At 36.6% G+C, this 19,113-nt stretch overlaps 1 long non-coding RNA gene across 1 annotated transcript; it reads left to right on the top strand.

The window, feature by feature from the left end:
• Positions 1 to 11,619: 11,619 nt before the first annotated feature.
• LOC105375251 (uncharacterized) lies at positions 11,620 to 18,778 on the top strand. Its single transcript, XR_927206.3, has 4 exons — positions 11,620 to 11,738; positions 12,418 to 12,521; positions 14,249 to 14,317; positions 18,447 to 18,778. It is a non-coding gene; the product is annotated as an uncharacterized LOC105375251 (long non-coding RNA).
• The last annotated feature ends 335 nt before the right edge of the window (positions 18,779 to 19,113 follow it).

Genomic DNA, 19,113 nt, shown 5'->3' with positions numbered 1-19,113 from the left:
CCCTCCATTTCCCTCCCTTACAAAAGTATCCACTTTTTGATACTTTTCACCTTTTGACCCCTTGTGCACATTATGTATTTGTTTTTCAGCTGCCCTCAGCAAACATATCCTTGTCAACTAAAATTTATTTACAGTAGACTCCAATCAAGGTGGGTCCTTTCTTTTCAGGAGTGAGAATTTGCTGGAAAGGTCTAAAGTGTGCCATCACTAAGCCTCCTCCATCCTCTCTGTTCTTCCTGGCAACACTGCTGCAGCTCTGTGGCTTCCCAAGCAGAACTGTGTTATTTGGTGCATACACATTTAGAGTTCTTATGTATTATTGGTGAATTGAATCATGTATAATGTGTAATTAACCTATAACTAGGAAATCTTTTTGCTTTAAAATCTATTTTGTATATGATTGACATAACTACAGTGGCTTTTGTTATTGACATAGAATAATTTTCCTGAACATATTTTTCATCCTTTTACTTTTAGCCTTCTCTGTCTTTAGAGATATGCCTTATATAAACACACATCTTGTAGAGTTCATCTTAGAATGAAAGAATCTTAACTCCATTCACCTCCTTCTCTAATTGAAAGCTATTATTGTGGTGTATATTATTTCTCTGTTTATCTCAGGACAATTATTGTGGATTTATTCATTCAATAGTCATTAAATGTTACCCAAATATGTATTATTTTCTTTCCTCTTTGCTTCTTCTGGCATTGGGAAATTTCCACCTGTAACTTACTTTCCTTCAGTTTGAAGGATGTTGTTTAAGATTTCCTTTAGTGAGTGTCTGTGGGCAGCAAAACCTTTCAGTTCTTGTTTCTTTAAAAATGTCCAATTTTATTCTTGAAAGTTATTTTCCTTGGGCATAGATTCCTAAGTTGGATAGTGTCTGGGTTTGTTTGCTTGTTTGTTTTTCCTTTCAGTACCATGAAAATTCCACTTCACTGTCTTTCGGCTTCCATTGTAGTTTTTAAGAAGTTAGCTGTTGGTCTGACACATTTTTGAATGCGAATTGTCCCTTCTCTCTGGCTTCCTCTAGTATCTCTGCTTTGACATTCATGTTTTCCAGTGTTAATACGATGTACCTTATTGTGAATATCACTTTGTTTATCCTTTTAGATATCAAAATTTTTAAATCTCTTTCTCTGAAAGTTTCTCATGATTTTCTCCTCAAATACTGCTTTTGCTTTATTCTTTCTTCTCCTTCTGAAACTCCAATTAAATAGAGATCAGATCTTTAAATTCACCCTCCATGTCTCTTACTCTTTTATAGTCTATATCTGTTTCTTTGGCTTTTCTTGTGCTAGATTATGGATTATGCCCTTCAGCTCAGTTTTCCAGTGTACCATTTAAATCCTCAGCTCTGTCTGATGTTTTCAGATGTACCCACTAAGTTTTAAATTCTTGTAATATATTTCCTTTTTAGAATTTTATTTGATTTTTCTCTTGAATCTGCTTTTATTTTCACACTATAAGTGTTCACAGATAGCGTTTAACTCTCTGCTGATTCTCACTCAACGGTATCTTGTTACTTTATCTGTCTCATGACTTTTAAAACGTGAGCTGTTGATTTTCCTACGTAACTTGTGTGTGTGTGGAAATCTCCTTAGATTTACACAAAGGTGAATACTTCTAAAGACAATTATGACTTTCCTCTGCCAGTTGACAACTCGTCTAGGATTATTTAAACTAAATTCCATTCTCAGTTTTTTGGGCCATCCAAATACTATGGAATTGAGGCAGCAAACAAACACGAGATCTAACCTATAAATACAGTTTCTCAGAGTCTATTTTCCCCTTTCACTCAGTGCCAGGATTTGAAAACTTGCAATTCTCCCCCATCTCTTTTTCCTTTTTCCCATTTTCTTGTAGGAGGATGGGGAGAGTTTATTTCTAGTTCATACTTATGCTTAAGATAAAGACTTTTGGTGTTGCAGCTTTATCCAGGGAGGTCTCCTGTTAGACACTGTCACTTAAAGGGAGCTGTGCTTTATTTTCTGACCTCTACACCTTACAGGCTCATAACAGCTTAAATTGTTAAGTTCTGAAAATAATCTCAAGGTAAAAATACTGAACGAAATTCTATGTTTGCCTCTCTATGTTCTCATCTTCCCTTAGATTTTGGCCTGAGCAAACATTACTTTCTTGCTAGCTCACCAAATCAATCATTCAGCAAATATTTGTGAAGCCCCTACAATCTTCCAACTACTATTCTATGTGTTGGGAACACAGCAGTGTAAAAAACAGACAATAATCCCTACTCTCAAGGAATTTATCTCAGAACGGTTGAGTGGTGGTTTTCATAATATTTTCAAAACTACATTTTATCCAGCTTTCTTTGTCTTCAGTGGGTTGATCCAGGTACCTAGCCTGACATGTTAACAAAACCAGAATCTCTCTCTTTCAGTTAAGCCTTGAAGGGAGTGAGTTGGTGACAGTTTTCAGTTTTATTTTTTTAGGTGCATTGGATTTAGTGCCTTGAAAGGAACACATGACTGAGAAATGGGAAGATTAGGTATTAGTCCCATTCCACATCTTAGCAAGTTCATATATCTTCCTTAACTTTTAAATAGTTACATTTATCCTTCTTAAATTAAAAAAAAAATAAGTTATTTAACCTTATGTTAAATGGATTGATCATCTCCTCATCACAGGATTGAGGGCACTAATTATAAATGTAAGTAAAGACACATTGTGAAGATTACTCTTCAAATACCAATATTCTCATTGTTTTTGAACTAGAGAAATTTTCCTGTGGGAGTTGAGTATCATGTCCAAAATCACACTGCAATAATTTATTATTCAAATCAAATCAGTATCCACTGAGTAGGAACTTAAGTATGAAAAATATCTTTTTAGTAAAAATGACCTCACTTTCAATATAGGCTTTTAATTTTTGCAACATTTAGCAAAAAATTATTTTCCTGAATTCACAGAAGCATCCTACCCATTAAATGAGCTGTAAGCAATATCATTGAGGTCACTCTGAAGAGCTATTGTAAAGCCATGTCCGGTGCATTCATGAGAGCTAGAGAAGGAAGCTGGGGTATGCAAGAGGCGTAGGAGGCCCAACCTCTCCTTAAACGTTCTATTTTCTAATGCCCACAGCCCCTTAAAAGAACTATCTCCTCTGGGTCTACTTTACCCTCCTGATAGTAGTGAATACCCACACTGGGGCTGCTGAAAGGCAGGCAACTATCTTTGTGGCCTCTTCTGTGTTTCCACAATTAGGAAATGCTGACTGAGGAGTGTTTCTCTCTCAGGGGCCTCAAGCACCTCTGGGTCATTTAGCTGTGTAAGTCAGGAAAGTCCAGATAATTTCCCAAGTGTCTTCCAGGTAGCTGAATCAGCTGCCACACAGGACTAGGCAGAAGCCTGCAAGGTCTTAGTATTAGCTAATTATTTTCATTCTCTGTGTCCCTTGATGGGATTCGGAATGCACCTTGTGCCACTGGCCCCATGCTCAAGTTGCTCAAGAAAAGCAACATGGAATGAAGGAATTCACCATCTTTGCCAGACGAAGTGTTTATTTATAAATAGAAGGATTCTTCTAACAAAGGGAGGCAGATGTTCACTATCCTGATTCATTTCAAATGTGCTCAGACTAATTCAACAAGCTTCACACAGGGGATCAGAGGGCAAGCCCTGTTTTCCTGACATCCTTCAGGGTCACATTAAACCCATGTTGTGTTTTCTGAGAGATTAGAAACAGACTGCAAAGTGGACCCAACAGATTTTGAGAGACAACTTTTCTTCACAAATATAAAACCCCTCAGAATTTTTTTCATGTGTATGATGTAGGAGTTGTTATTCATGCTAACTACCCCTTTATTCAAAATCTCAGACATGCAGGGAGGCTTAGATGCCAATCATTTTACACACTCTTTATTCTCTGTTTATTCATCATCAAGGGCCAAGCAACTTCAGTGTGAGTAAGACTCAAGGGATGTTAAGAGAAACATTCTTAATTTCATAACAATAAAAATATATGTTTTTCAAACGGAAAAGACAGCACTATATGAGTAAGACTCCCTTGAGTCCAAGGAGTGATGTTTAACTTTGTTTGAGAAGTTTATTCTTGCCTCAAGTAAAATGAAACTAGTAAATATCAAGTCCCAATGCAGATTGACTGATTAACAAATTGCTTTAATTGCTTTAAACGGAGAGGCCAAATATTTTGACTTAATCATTTTTCACTGAAGTCTTTCACTAAACCTGACCACAGCTGTCCTTGAGGCCAGATGTTAGCTGTAAAAATCAGTGCATTTAATATACCGTGCAACCTCTCTGCCTTTTTGGATGGGCTGAAGCCCACAGCGTCTGTGTGTATTAGCAGTACATGGCTTCGGTCGCTGTGTTGAGATGCCTATTATCCTCATGTGGTTTGGCGGTAGCTCAGATTTCCTCTAAGCTTGTGCACAATCACTTCATTTAGAAGCTATCTGCTTCTATTGAGGTAAAGGAACCTCACAATTGCACTTGGTACTGCCTGTTCCTGAAAGTATTTGGACAAAGTCAAATACCTTCCCCTTTTATCATTGTTAAGCTGCCCAAGCCCAGTTAATTGTGGCCTCACCAAATGCATTTTCCTAGAAGGTTGCACGATCTGGCCTGGCACTCCTCTCAGGGGAATGAGTAGTTTGCAGAGTTTCCAGGGTTGTCCAGGGCCCTCTGCTCCCCACCTGAAGCACTGCATTTTCTGCTTTGTTAATTAGAGGCTTAGGACTGTGCAAATGCCTGTCTGTAACTCCTCACGGCAAATTTGCAAAACCTGGGGAATAGCGATGCAATGGAAAGAGCATGGGTTTCAGAACTGGAAAGACCTGGGCTTAAATCAAGCAATACCATTGAATTTCCTGAATACCCATTGATTCCAGTCTAAGCTCTACTTTTGACTTAAGGCAGTACAGTAATTTCCAAGCCACACTGAAGACTGCTTCAGGGTCTGCAAATGTTTGAGTGACTTCTTAAAAACCATAATTAAAACTTTTTAAAAATAGTAATTAGAAAGCACATACACTCAAGTGTGTTAGGTACTAAAATTCGTTGTTCCCTAAATAGCCTCTTTGTTCTTATTGATTACCTTACAAGTATGAAATTATAAATTAAACTTTTATTCATAAAGGCCTATTTTAATCTGTATTGTAAGATGGAATTACAGTTGTGGTTTCATGTGGAAAAAAAAAAAAGGCCCCACTGTTAAAAATGTTTGAAAACCACTGCTTAAGAATGTGATTCCAACTCTTCCAAAATGTTCTTTCCCTGAGATATTCAGTGTTTCCTATCAACCCATGAAATGCTGCAGTTTGAAGGTGCTTAACTTTCAGATCTCTCTGTCATCATTTCTTGTAAGGTTGTCTCAGCTACTTGGGAGGCCGAGGCAGGAGGATTGCTTGAGCCTTGGAATTTCAGGCTGTAGTACGCTATGATTGTGCCTGTGAAGAGCCACTGCACTCCAGCCTGCCTGGGTAACATAGTGGCACCCCATCTCTTATTTTTAAAAATGGTTTGAAAAATGACATGTATTTTTAAAGAGTGCCATGACAGGGATGCAGGGCGGGTTTGATGACACAGATCCTCTATGTTGGCTAAAAGATAGGGTTAAACCTAGGCAAAGGTAGTTCCACTCAGCGAGCATTCCATTAGAAGAGACTTAACAACAGTGTTGTCACTCTCAGGCAAAGTGGGGCAGAGGGAGCAATATCGGCAAAGGAATAAGACAGTAATGCCTGTGAAAGTTGGAGGTCTTTCAATATGACAGGAGCATGAAAAAGAGAGGCTGATGAATACACATATAAGATTAGACCCAGAGCAAATGGTGCAGATTTTGTATATTCTGCAAACCTATTTGGAATTTACCCACCAAGAAACTTTGGAAGTCTTTTAAAAAGCAGAGACATTTGAAAACTTCTGCATAGATCTTCTGTATTTTCCCAGGGGCAGTCTGACTTTTCCCCTTTTTAGCTCATACGATTAAATCATAAACTCTTTTTGGGATCATATAGGTCAAATAGAGCTGTTTAGGTTTTGTATAGTCTTTGCCATTTACTAGTGTGACTTTAGCCAAGTTCTTAAATATTTGAATCGAGTCTGGTACCATATTCTCTAAAGTAGATTTTAGTGCCTATAAGAGAAAACCTCATTTACACAGACTCTTTCTTCCAAAAATACTCTTTTGACTTCTTTTCACCCAGGAAGTTCTCTTTTCTTAGCACAGATGTCACTTCCCTGGGGACACCACCTTTGGATACTCAGACTGAATCAGGGCCCTCAGGATACCTTCCAACAACACCCTGCACTAGTCTACAGAGTCACCACACATGGAATGACTCGTAATTATTTACTCCTTTGTTAAAAAAGTTATCACCAATGCTGTATGCTAAGGGTTCTTACATACTAGATAAAGTCTGTCAATGGCCTTTTAAAAATCACTAAATAAAATAAAATGATATGGCAATGGAGAAACCTGAGGTTAGCTTGATTTTTTTTTCTTTGTATTTGGTTTTTATGCTTACATGGCCGAGTGACTAATTTTTAGAACTTTATTGAGGTATAATTCACACACAATGAATTGCACATATTATAGTACACAATCTGATGTTTTAAAATATATGTGTGTGTATATATATATTCCCATGAAATAGTCTCCACCATGAAGATAATGAGCACACCCACCACTCCCAAATGTGATCTTGTGCTTTTTTTTTTTTTGAGATGGAGTCTCGCTCTGTCACCCAGGCTGGAGTGTGGTGGCGCGATCTCAGCTCACTGCAACCTCCACCTCCTGAGTTCAAGCGATTCTTTTGCCTCAGCCTCCCTAGTAGCTGAAATTACAGGTGTGTATCACCATGCCCCGCTAATTTTTTGTATTTTAGTAGAGATAGGATGTTGCCAAGTTGGCCAGGCTGGTCTCAAACTCCTGACCTCTGGAGATCTGCCTGTTTCTCCCTCTCAAAGTGCTGGGATTACAGGCATGACCCAGCATGCCCAGCCCTTGTGTCTCTTTGTAATCGTTTTGTCCTCCCCACCCCAACTCTCTCATTCCCCACTCTTCAGTAAACCACTGATCTGCTTTTATTCACTGCCTGTTAGCTTTTATTTTCTAGAGCTACATGTAAATGAAACCACACAGTATATACTCTTTTTGGGGAGGGTTGGGGGTTTGGTTTCTTTCACTAAGCACAATTATTTTGAGATGCACTCATATTTTTGCATAAAGGAATATTTATATTGCTGACTATACAATGGGTATATCCCATTGTATGAATATACCAAGATTTATTTATTCATTCACCTGTCGATAACATTTGCATTGTTCCTAGTTTTTTGAAAATACTAATAAAGCTGCTATGAACATTTGTGTGTACATATTAATAAATTCAAATTTAATAAGAATTTTTGCCCTTTGAAATACATTGTTTAGAGAATGAAAATACAAAACCATGCATTGGAAGAAAGTATTTGCAAACCACATATCTGATAAAGATCTCCAACACTCAATAATAAAAAACAAAAACCCAACTGAAAAAATAGGCAAAAGATTTGATCAGACATGTTCCAAGGGATTTTGGATCTTGCTTCTAAACTTTGTCAGGCTGGACTGAGCAGCACTGGGTCTAGAGCTAATTCTTTCCTACAACAAAAGTATCTTGCTACTTTACTCCATGTCCCATGAGTGATGAGGTTTCCCAATCTGGCTCTTGGGAACAGGAACAGTTTCTGATTTTGCGTGAACCTCAGAAGTTATTTTCTCTAATTATTTCAGGTGGTTCTCTCCCTGGCCTCAGGTAGCTTCCTTACAAGCACATGTTGATCTTTACTCAGCTGAAGACTGAAGGGACCCTCTTCAAATCTTCATATCTTACTGTCTGTTCAGCTCTCTCTTCTTCAGTCCTTTGCCCTGAGCCTTCATGGACTCCCATCTCCATGAACTCAACTCTGAGAAACCACTGGGTTCTGTCTGGGGTCCCCCCACCTGCATTATGGCCTGGAAACTCTCCCCAGGCAAAAATATGTGGCAACAGCAGAACTCACCTCACTTCTTACTAGTGTCTCAGGGATCCTTATGGTTTGTTGTCTGATATTTAATGTCTTAAAATCCTTAGTTTCATACAGTTGCCCAATTTTCTAATTCCATGGGAGAGTAAACCCAGTCCCTGTTACTCCACGTTGGCCAGAGTGAAATTCTCTGAATGCTGAAACAGGTACCTAACAGTTATTGAACACACATATTGATAGTTGTTTAATCTGCATGACAATCCTATCAGTGGTGTATTATTTCTGCCCCCAGAGAGGTAACAGAGATTGCCTGGGAGGACACAGATGGTAACTGGAAAGACTGTGATTTGAACTTGGGCAGTACTACACAGCTTATTTTTTGAAATGTAATATCTTGATAAGCATTTCTCTTGTACCCAAATTTTATATATGTATGTATGTGTAAATATATATAAATATAATATATATGTTTATTTATTTTATTTATTATTATACTTTAAGTTTTAGGGTACATGTGCACAATGTGCAGGTTAGTTACATATGTATACATGTGCCATGCTGGTGCGCTGCACCCACTAACTCGTCATCTAGCATTAGGTATATCTCCCAGTGCAATCCCTCCCCCCTCCCCCCACCCCACAACAGTCCCCAGAGTGTGATGTTCCCCTTCCTGTGTCCATGTGTTCTCATTGTTCAATTCCCACCTATGAGTGAGAATATGCAGTGTTTGGTTTTTTGTTCTTGCAATAGTTTACTGAGAATGATGGTTTCCAATTTCATACATGTCCCTACAAAGGACATGAACTCATCATTTTTTATGGTTGCATAGTATTCCATGGTGTATATGTGCCACATTTTCTTAATCCAGTCTATCATTGTTAGACGTTTGGGTTGGTTCCAAGTCTTTGCTATTGTGAATAGTGCCACAATAAACATACGTGTGCAAACTATACTACAAGGCTACAGTAACCAAAACAGCATGGTACTGGTACCAAAACAGAGATACAGATCAATGGAACAGAACAGAGCCCTCAGAAATAACGCCACATATCTACAACTATCTGATCTTTGACAAACCTGAGAAAAACAAGCAATGGGGAAAGGATTCCCTATTTAATACATGGTGCTTGGAAAACTGGCTAACCATATGTAGAAAGCTGAAACTGGATCCCTTCCTTACACCTTATACAAAAATCAATTCAAGATGGATTAAAGACTTAAACGTTAGACCTAAAACCATAAAAACCCTAGAAGAAAACCTAGGCATTACCATTCAGGACATAGGCATGGGCAAGGACTTCATGTCTAAAACACCAAAAGCAATGGCAACAAAAGCCAAAATTGACAAATGGGATCTAATTAAACTCAAGAGCTTCTGCACAGCAAAAGAAACTACCATCAGAGTGAACAGGCAACCTACAAAATGGGAGAACATTTTCACAACCTACTCATCTGACAAAGGACTAATATCCAGAATTTACAAAGAACTCAAACAAATTTACAAGAAAAAAACAAACAACCCCATCAAAAAGTGGGCAAAGGACATGAACAGACACTTCTCAAAAGAAGACATTTATGCAGCCAAAAAACACATGAAAAAATGCTCACCATCGCTGGCCATCAGAGAAATGCAAATCAAAACCACAATGAGATACCATTTCACACCAGTTAGAATGGCAATCATTAAAAAGTCAGGAAACAACTGGTGCTGGAGAGGACGTGGAGAAATAGGAGCACTTTTACACTGTTGGTGGGACTGTAAACTAGTTCAACCATTGTGGAAGTCAGTGTGGCGATTCCTCAGGGATCTAGAACTAGAAATACCATTTGATGCAGCCATCCCATTACTGGGTATATACCCAAAGGACTATAAATCATGCTGCTATACAGACACATGCACATGTATGTTTATATATCTGTTTTTGAAACAGAGTGTAACTTATTCCATGGATATCTTTCTCTTACAATTTTGAATATGCCTTCAAAAATCCATTTTTTTAATTTGTATGTTGGATTATCTTTGAAACATATTTATCAATGGGGGAATGACTCAATGCTGTATGCTCTTACTAGGGTATAGTAGTCACAATTAAATGATGTTGTGTTATTATGTTGCCATTACCGAGATATTTAATGAAGAAAACACAGATATCAATAACTGAGTTGAAAAGTGATTCAGAACAATCGGATACCATGTGAAGAACTAGGACTGTCTTAACTAATTTATTGTATTTATAGTCTCCTTTTTTGTGTGCACCAAAATGTTACGTGTACAAAATAATCTATGTTGAAGATTAAATAAGCTCCTTTGGTAAATATAAAAATTTTAAGAAATAAAACAGCATTACATTATAGTGTAATTGTAGCACTTTTCCTTTTTCAGTGATACATAGAATAATAGCATGACTTACAATTGATGGCACCTTTGATTTAATGCAATATGGCATAATTTATTTAAATGTTTTAATTTTTTATATTTATCCTCTGCACTAATGCTTATGCCTTATTTTAATAATTAAATTTCAGGCATAATGTTCTGTTTATTATAGTTTCTGACATATGTGTTCTTAATATTGTTGTTTTGTTCCCTATTTTATTTCTTTAACACCGTGTGTTTGTCCATTATCACATTGGTATAAAGAACTACCTGATATTAGGTAACTTATAAAGAAAATAAATTTAATTGACTCACAGTTCCATAGGCTGTATAGGAGGCATGGCTGGAGAGGCCATGGCAGAAGGTGAAAGGGAAGCCAGCACATCTTCACATGGCAACAGGAGAGAGAGAGTGTGAAGGGGGAAGTGCCACACACTTTCAGATCTCTTGAGAAGTCAGTCAATATCACAATAACAGCAAGGGGTAAATCCGCCCCCATGATTAAATCACCACCCACCAGGTTCCCACCAAAACACTGGGAATTACAATTCAACATGAGACTTGGGTGGGAATACAGAGTCAAACCATATCACATTGCAACCTCATTTTTTCCCCCTAATTCATTCCATTGGTATTACTATTCTTTTTTTTAAGGCTTTCTTTGAAAATGAGTTTTTATTAAGTACTATGGTTGTGAGGGAATTATTTTCTTTTCGTTAGACTGGTTTGTTGCCTATAGAATTAATTTTCCAAAAGAACTTTCTCACTTTATCTTTTCTATTTAAACTCCAATAATTTGCCCCATAATTTTCTGTTCCCTACTTCAGTAGTGCCCTGCCCTGTCCTGCTCTGCAGTTCGGCTTGTCGCATCCCATCAATCTCTCAATGTCTATCTCAAAAACTCTTTATTTAATATGATTTTCATAATTTTATAAGATTAATAAGACCTCTCCCCCTTTCAAACTTCAAAAGATGCTATGAGGATAGCATCTTTTCCATATCTTGTAGATTCTATAGGTTCTCCTTTGAAGTTTAATTATTTATGTAATTGTGTAATAGGCTTGTTTGTTTTATTTTTTAGCACATCTTCGTATTCCCCCAATTAAAGCAAAGTGACTTGTACATAATAGATACTTCATAAATACTGGCAGAATTGAATTGAGTTGATAGATCTAGGTTATGAAAAACTCTGTTATATGAACAGTTAATTTTCTGGGTTTTCTGTTGCTTTGTTTTGTTTTTGGAACAGGGTCTCACTCTGTCACCCAGGCTGGAGTTCAGTTGTGCAATCATGGCTCACTGCATCATCAATCTCCTGGGTCTAAGTGATCCTCCTCACTTCAGCCTCCGGAGTACCTGGGACCATAGGTGCGCACCACCGCACTCAGCTAATTCTTAATTTTTTTTTGTACAGACAGGGACTTGCCCTGTTGCCCATGCTCAATTAATTTCCTGACGTGATTATAAAAATTATTGAGGAGTTATTAATATATCTTTAGATGGTGGTTCTCTGCCTTTAGGGCCTATCAGAATTATGCTTGTAAGTTTTCTTTGTTTTTGTTTTGTTTTAATAGCAATTCTTGGTTCAAGCCAAATCTACTAAAACTATAATTGCTGAGAATGGGGCCCAGGAAATTGTTTGTAAAAGCTCTACAGAGTATTATGATGCTTGTGGAAGTTTAAAAATGCTGGTTTTAGGAAGTAATATGATAATTTTCTTCTGAACTCTATGCAGATTTTGGAACATTTCTTAGTTATCCTAATAACTGGACATGTGTCTTGATTAAGCAAAATGGTGAATGTGCTAGAATAGCCAAAATCTTTTTTCTCATGAAGGGAAAATATAGCACAAATTAAATATGGGGTTTACTTTAAGCCATTTCTTCACATATTCAATATAAAATTTTATGTAGAAATAATCTAGCCCTGAAAATATTCTTCTTCCTTGAATATGATCATTATTTGTCCTGCCCCACCCCAGTAGCATAAGCTGCTATAAAAGGATATACATTCTCACAACTAAGAGTAACTCACTTTTTTTTGGCAGTGTCAGCTTAATTTTGTGTAAATAGTCTGGAAACATGATTTTCATCACAGCAAGCAAAACTTGTATAGACATGTTTGTAAGAGGATATTTATACACCACCCCAGGTAAGTCGTTAATCAGATAATGTGCACAGTTTCCTACCTACTGAATAACCCAGTGTTAATCATCCCGAAGCATTTGTGTATTTATTAATAATTTATGTGATTAAGTTAGTGTCTATAGAGATTCCAGAGTAGCTTGTAGGGTCTCCGTCCTCCAGAAATTTAGAATCGCAGATGAGTGAAAGAATGTGGATATGACTGAATTTGTTTAAATGACAGAACCGATAGAATAAATCTCTTACCCCATTGGCTATAAATAGGCATGTCTTTGTGGATCCAACACTACTAATGAATTTGCATAAACTGTGGGGCAGAAAAGTAATGAATCTTCTATAAAGATACAGACACTTGAAATACCAAGTTTTGGAGAACCAGAATTACAGCATCTGAGTTTTGGGAAAGATAATAAGCCTGGATTTAAGCTATGCATATCTTCTGTTATGCCATCAGGTACCTGACCATTCTGACATAAATTTGTGGCTTACCTATGAGGTGTCTACAGCTGACCAACATTTACATAGATAGAGAATGCATTTTGTGTTAGTTGAGTCATAAGAACATGAGGCTTATGATCCTCCATTTAGTTACTTTGAGCTCCCCAAACACACTCTTTTTGGCATCAGTCTTGGGGAGGTGTTTTTGTGTGTTTGCTAAGCAGGATGTAAGGTTCTAAAGGAGAGAAATTTTCTTTGTGCCTGTTGTGCCTAGAATTGTGCTAGGGATATAGTAGCTGTTCAATGAATGTTTGTTGATTTAATATTTATTATTCAATTGGAAAAATCAATGCAATACTTTCAATTTAAAACTTATGGTTTTATTTTAATAACCTAGCTCCTTCTTATAAAAGTAAATAGATTTACTATAGAAAATTGGGAAAAATTTTAAAACCTTCAGAAGAAAATAGAAATTTTTGTAATAATATTAACTAGAGAAAATCATCATAAATATTTTAACATAAGCAGTTCATCTGTGAGTGTTTTTATAAATATGATTTAGTGCATACGCATGTGGGGGCGATGTGGGTGTCCACATAGAAAATAATTGGAATTGTGTACATTGTTTTGACTTGATATATCATGAGCATTTTCTCATATAATTAAATGCTTTGAAACTATAATTGTTTAGTGGCTACATAATTTTCAATCAAACGGATGTACCAAAGTTTGTTGGGCGTGTACCATATTTGGAGTTATTAAGGTTGCTTTTGTTTAGTTATTTTTGGTAAAAATAAATAATACAATCATGAATGTCCTTATGTGTTAGACTTCTAACATCGCTAATTATTCCCTTAGGATAATTCCTCTCTGAAATGGCTATAGAAATTTGTATATAAACTAAAGATTTTCAAGAATGTCTCTTTTATTTCATTCTTGACAACAGTGATAATCATGCTTTTAAGTTTCTTTCTAACTATGTAAAATATAACATCTCATTAACTGTATATTTGAACTTAATTTATTAGTTGTGCATAGCAATATATTTTCATAAGTGGATGTTTAATTAAATAATTACAAGTATATGTGACATATTATTTGCTGTCTTTTTCTTAGTGGTTTGTAAAAGCTCTGTATATATTACAGATAGGAAGCATTTATATACTGCATACATGTTTCCCTTTAAATTGCTATTTCACTTTAAATTTTACATTACTTTTTGATATACAGAATATTTACATTTTTGTACATGTCAAAATGTTAATTTATGATTTCTTGTACCATCTTTGTTCCTAGGATGCTCTTTCTCAACTGACATCACCTGCATTTAGTCCATTTCAGTTCTTCCATGGCTTTATGTTTTCAGTAGGTTACATTTTAAAATTCATCTGTAATTTATTGCAATATAAGGTATAAGACAAATTGAATTTTATTTCCTGATAATATCTTATTATAATTTATTCAAGAATTGTTCCTATCCTCAATTATTTTGTATACAAATTCAGTTTCTATTAAATTATGCTCCTGATTCCTTCTGTTTAATTAAAATACCTTCCTTTTCACATTTGTACAAGTGTTAAAATTAAATAACGTCTTATATGTAATAAAGTAAGTCTCTATTCTTTCTAAAATGTCAAGACAATTCTCATCAGCTTTAAAATTGTAAGTAACCTTTAGAATCCTAGTGACAAATACAAAAAGAAGGAAGATGATATTCTATTGAAATTAAATAATTTGCCTAAATTAAAAAAGTAATGTGGGATGAATTAATATGTTTATAATATTGAGTTCTCCAACACATTATCCATACACACAGCACGACATTCTGTTTACATAAATACACGTCCCTTTTTTCATCTTTTTCTAGGTCCCTCATCAAAGCTGTAACATTTTCTTCAAATAGAACAAGTGTATTTCATATTAGCATCTATCTTAATATTTTTCTTGGGATTTTTTAAAAAAGTTGTTGGAAATATGGGTTTTAATTTTTTGGTTATTGTGAAGAATGCTTCTATAAACATTCATGTACAAGTTTTTGTGAAGACACATGTTCTCATTTATCTCGGGTAGATACATAGAAGTAGAATTGCTGGATTGTATGGGAACTCTATATTTAACCATTGAATCACTTCCAGACTGTCTCCAGCTACACATTTTGCATTCCCACCAGCAGTGTATGAGAGTTCAAATTATGTATTTGTGATTTTGCTATTCTTCTCTGGAAGTCTCTATTTTAAAATAATCATTAAAGAAGGAAAAGCAAAAGTATCCAACTAGAAAAATTATTTTAATTAGGAGTCACTTTGAGGCCAATTTGACCTGTTTCCTAATTAGCTGAAAAAAGTTTCACAGGTAGTCTTTACCTTTGATCCATTAGGTAAACTTGAAACATTCTAAATGAATTTTAATACGACTTGAATAAAAACATTTCATCTCTAGCTTTTGAGGGAGAGGTCAAGCAACATAAGGAAGAAATACAGAAAGAGAGAATATTCTACTCAAATTAGAGAAACAAAAAAAAATAAAAAGTAGGACTGAAGTTCCGGCTAGCCTAAGAGCTTTCACAAAATGATCTGTCTTTCTTTTTCTCTCCCACTATCCTGGCCCTTCCCTCTGCTCCACCACTAATGAGACTTCAGTCTAGGCAAATTCATTGTGATGCATATGGTTCTCCTTCATACAGACTCTACCTGCAAATCTTGGTGTATTCATTTTCTACGATGCTGTAGCAAATTACTACAAATTTACTGGCTTAAAACAAAATGAATTAATTATTTTATAGTTCTGGTGTTAGGAAGTCCAAAACGGGTGTTAAGAGGCTAAAATCAAGGGTTGCGTTTCTTCTGGAAGCTTCAGGGGAGAACATTCTTTGCTTTTTCCATCTCCTTTAGGCAGCCTGCATTCCTTGGCTCTGGCCATGGCTACACCACTCCAGCTTTGCTTCTGTCATCACATCCCCCTCTCTAACTCTCCTGCCTCCCTCTTTCCCTTATAAGGCACCTTGTGATTACACTGGGCCCATCTGGATATTCCAAGATAATGTTCTCAAGAACCTTAACTTAATCATACCTGCAGAGTGCCTTTTGTCATGTAAGGTAACATATTCACAAGTTGCCAAGAGTAAGATGAAGACATCTTGGGCAAGGGGAGGGTGGCGGTTGGTGGCACATCACTCTGCCTACCACACTTGTTGTCTGTCATGTGTAACTTATCCTGCAGTATTTTTACAAACAGGGTTACTATGATAAAAAAAAAAAATTCTGACTTCTGCATTGATTTTATATATATATGAAATAATTTATGGGATACATTTTGAATATGGAAATTTATTCATCTGCTTACCACAATGTAAACAGTATCAAGAAAATTCAAGCAATCAAATATCTTCAGCATAAAAAACAATCTGACATCACACTTATGAGTACAGACAACATTTTATTTTGGGCCAAGACAATACAAAAGCTATCCTGACACTTGTGAAACCAGTAGATTTCTCCAGACACTCCAGAATTATCTGACTGGTTCTTTGGACTTTCTCATGAATGCCTCAGGGCTTTTAATTAGCTCTAAAAGCTGACTTCATCAGCTCCTAAAATTAGGGCTTTTCCTCTTATTAATAGGGCCCATACTTTGCCTCACTATTCAGTGTTCTATTAAATTTGTGTCAAAATTTAACAAGAGCACTAATGTTTTTATTATGCAGGTAAGAGCCCCAGACCTGGCACTCAGCAATATCTACAGGCCACTACAAGACAGTTTCATTTCCTCAATCTTGATTGAGATACTCCTCCATTATCTGTGTCCTTTGTCAGCAGGAAGCAACCAGAGTGGTCACTGTCTGATTCCCTCCTGCCTCAAGATTGAGGAAATGAACAAGTCAAGAGGGGACTGAAACCACCCTCATGGGGCTAGCTAGACTTACACACTAGGCTATAGGCAGAATTATAGTTAGGCATTGACCAGGGTGCACTGGTGCACTTTGACTGACTTTTCTGCAGCTGCTACCTGAGAGTCATGTAGCACAGTGACCACCTGCTCCTCCACTGTTTCTATAGATAGAATCTCTGATGATAGACCATTTTACCCAAGAATTGTGTAAGGTATTTTCCAGATCCTGAATTCCAGCAGGATGGCTAATGCCAACTGGTCTGAATCCCCTCCCCAAGGAACCTACTCAGCACAGAAATGTAGTTTCTTCATCTCCCTGTCCCATGACTTCACCCCTCACTTCTTGACCAATCAGTGGCCACCACCCTTTAGCCCATCATCTGTTCAGATCCCTAAAAAACTCTGTCCCAAAACCTCTTGAGAGGCAGATTTGAGGTTTCCTCCCATCTTCTCATTTGGCCAACCTACAGTTATTATATTCATTCTCTGCTGCAACTCCTGCTGTTTCAGTGTACTGGCTCATTACTGTGCAATGAGCAATGAAACCTGGTGGTCATATAGCATTTCATTGGTAGGAGCATGGGAAACAGCTCAAAATCTTAGATATAAAATGGGACATTTATTATGTTTAGCAGAAGGGTTCTGAAGTATATGGATTAGTTATTGTTTCACATAATAATTTAGGGAGTCCTTGTGAATGATAATCTGCTAGTGGTTCTACTCTTCCATCTTACAGTATCAGAAGATACATTTCAGGTTATTAGCAGCTCCTCTGATCAGTCTTTACCCGTCCTTTGTAATACAGACCGTGAGTCCCATCTTAAGAATACAGGACCTCCTACTGACCACATCTTATAGTGGGCCTCTTTGGAAAATGTAGCCACCTCCTCCTTTTTTACTTCCATTCAACCTGGTCCTATGTAAATAGCTTACCATCATATCCAAAGAGATCTTTTAAATAAAGATGCCATTTCTCTTTGGATATAATGGTACAATAAGATCATCTAGTTGAATGATATTTTCTAAAAGTCCTTTATGTCCTGAGGCTAATTGTAAATCCAGAAAATCTTGATGCTGAATCGGTTGGTATGGTAGTTCTTAATGGTTAGCAAAGAAAAAAAATCGTAATTTCAGTTAGAGTTAAAATTCATCAAAGGCTTTAGACTGAAGGTCACCTGACCAGGTTCAACACAGAGCATAATAGCTTTATATTGTGATAAAAGAGAGAAAATATTCTCAGAACAGACTACAATGTAGGCATATCAGGCTATACTATGAGGATAAAATATTCAAAATATCACTTCATAATGATAATAGGACTAGGGCCACCAAAAATTGAGGCACATTTGAGATGTTTCCTTCATTACCAAAGTTTAGCTATAAAAATTACCTTGTCCTTGAGGTTCTGGTTCCTGGCTAGATGGCATAAACACACTGTATCCTATGACTGTCTCTCATTAAATGCAACAATAAGCTCTAGATAGAATGCAGGAAGCAGCTAACTAAGTACTCCAAAAGTCAATGATAGCCAGCAGCTTAACAAAAGAGAACACAATGTGATATAATACAACACTGGCAGTGAGTTTCTCATTTTTCCCCACTCCAGAATCAACCTGCCTGGACTCAAAAGCAGACAAAACCCAGAAGTAAACAGCAGATAGAGATGGAAAAAGCTCCAGAAGAATTTCTCTCCTACAGATTTAAGAGGAGAAAATGAGACTCCTAAGTGTCATAAAGAATGTGTGTAGGTGGGATATCCTCTTTTTTTCTTCTGTTCTTTCCCATCCAGCCCCAAGACAATAATATGATGGCATGGTAGAGGTGAAGATAATGGGAGCAGTGGCTCTAGGGACCCCTCTATGTGAAGAGAATATATTCTGGCCAGGGGAGCTGTACTCACAAAAGTGACTTTATTATTAAAGTGCTGAAAAAAAGAGAGCAATTCCTAGTGGTGTTTTTTTCTCTGACCTTATGCTTCTTGGCACTGATATAGATGTAGACGTGGGAATTGTGAAGCAGAACAGAAAATACAAAGCTTGATTTTCTGACTATAGTATTAAAAAAGGGAGAGTGGAGCCTGGAATCATGAAGAAAACATCAGACAGATTGCAAAACAAAAAAAAAAAGGGAGAATGAGAGATCAGTTGCATCATATTGTTTATGAACTCCTAGGCTCATCTGAGAGCTGTTCATGAGTGTATCTAGTCTTGACAGTGTATTAACATCTTTGAGAACTTCATTAAAGTATAGGCCACCGGCCAGGCCTCAGACAG

Source organism: Homo sapiens, chromosome 7 (genome assembly GCF_000001405.40).
Source record: "Homo sapiens chromosome 7, GRCh38.p14 Primary Assembly".
NCBI classification, from domain to species: Eukaryota; Metazoa; Chordata; class Mammalia; order Primates; family Hominidae; genus Homo; species Homo sapiens.
Note: the sequence above shows the minus strand (reverse complement) of the source record. Positions and strands in the feature narration are given on the sequence as shown.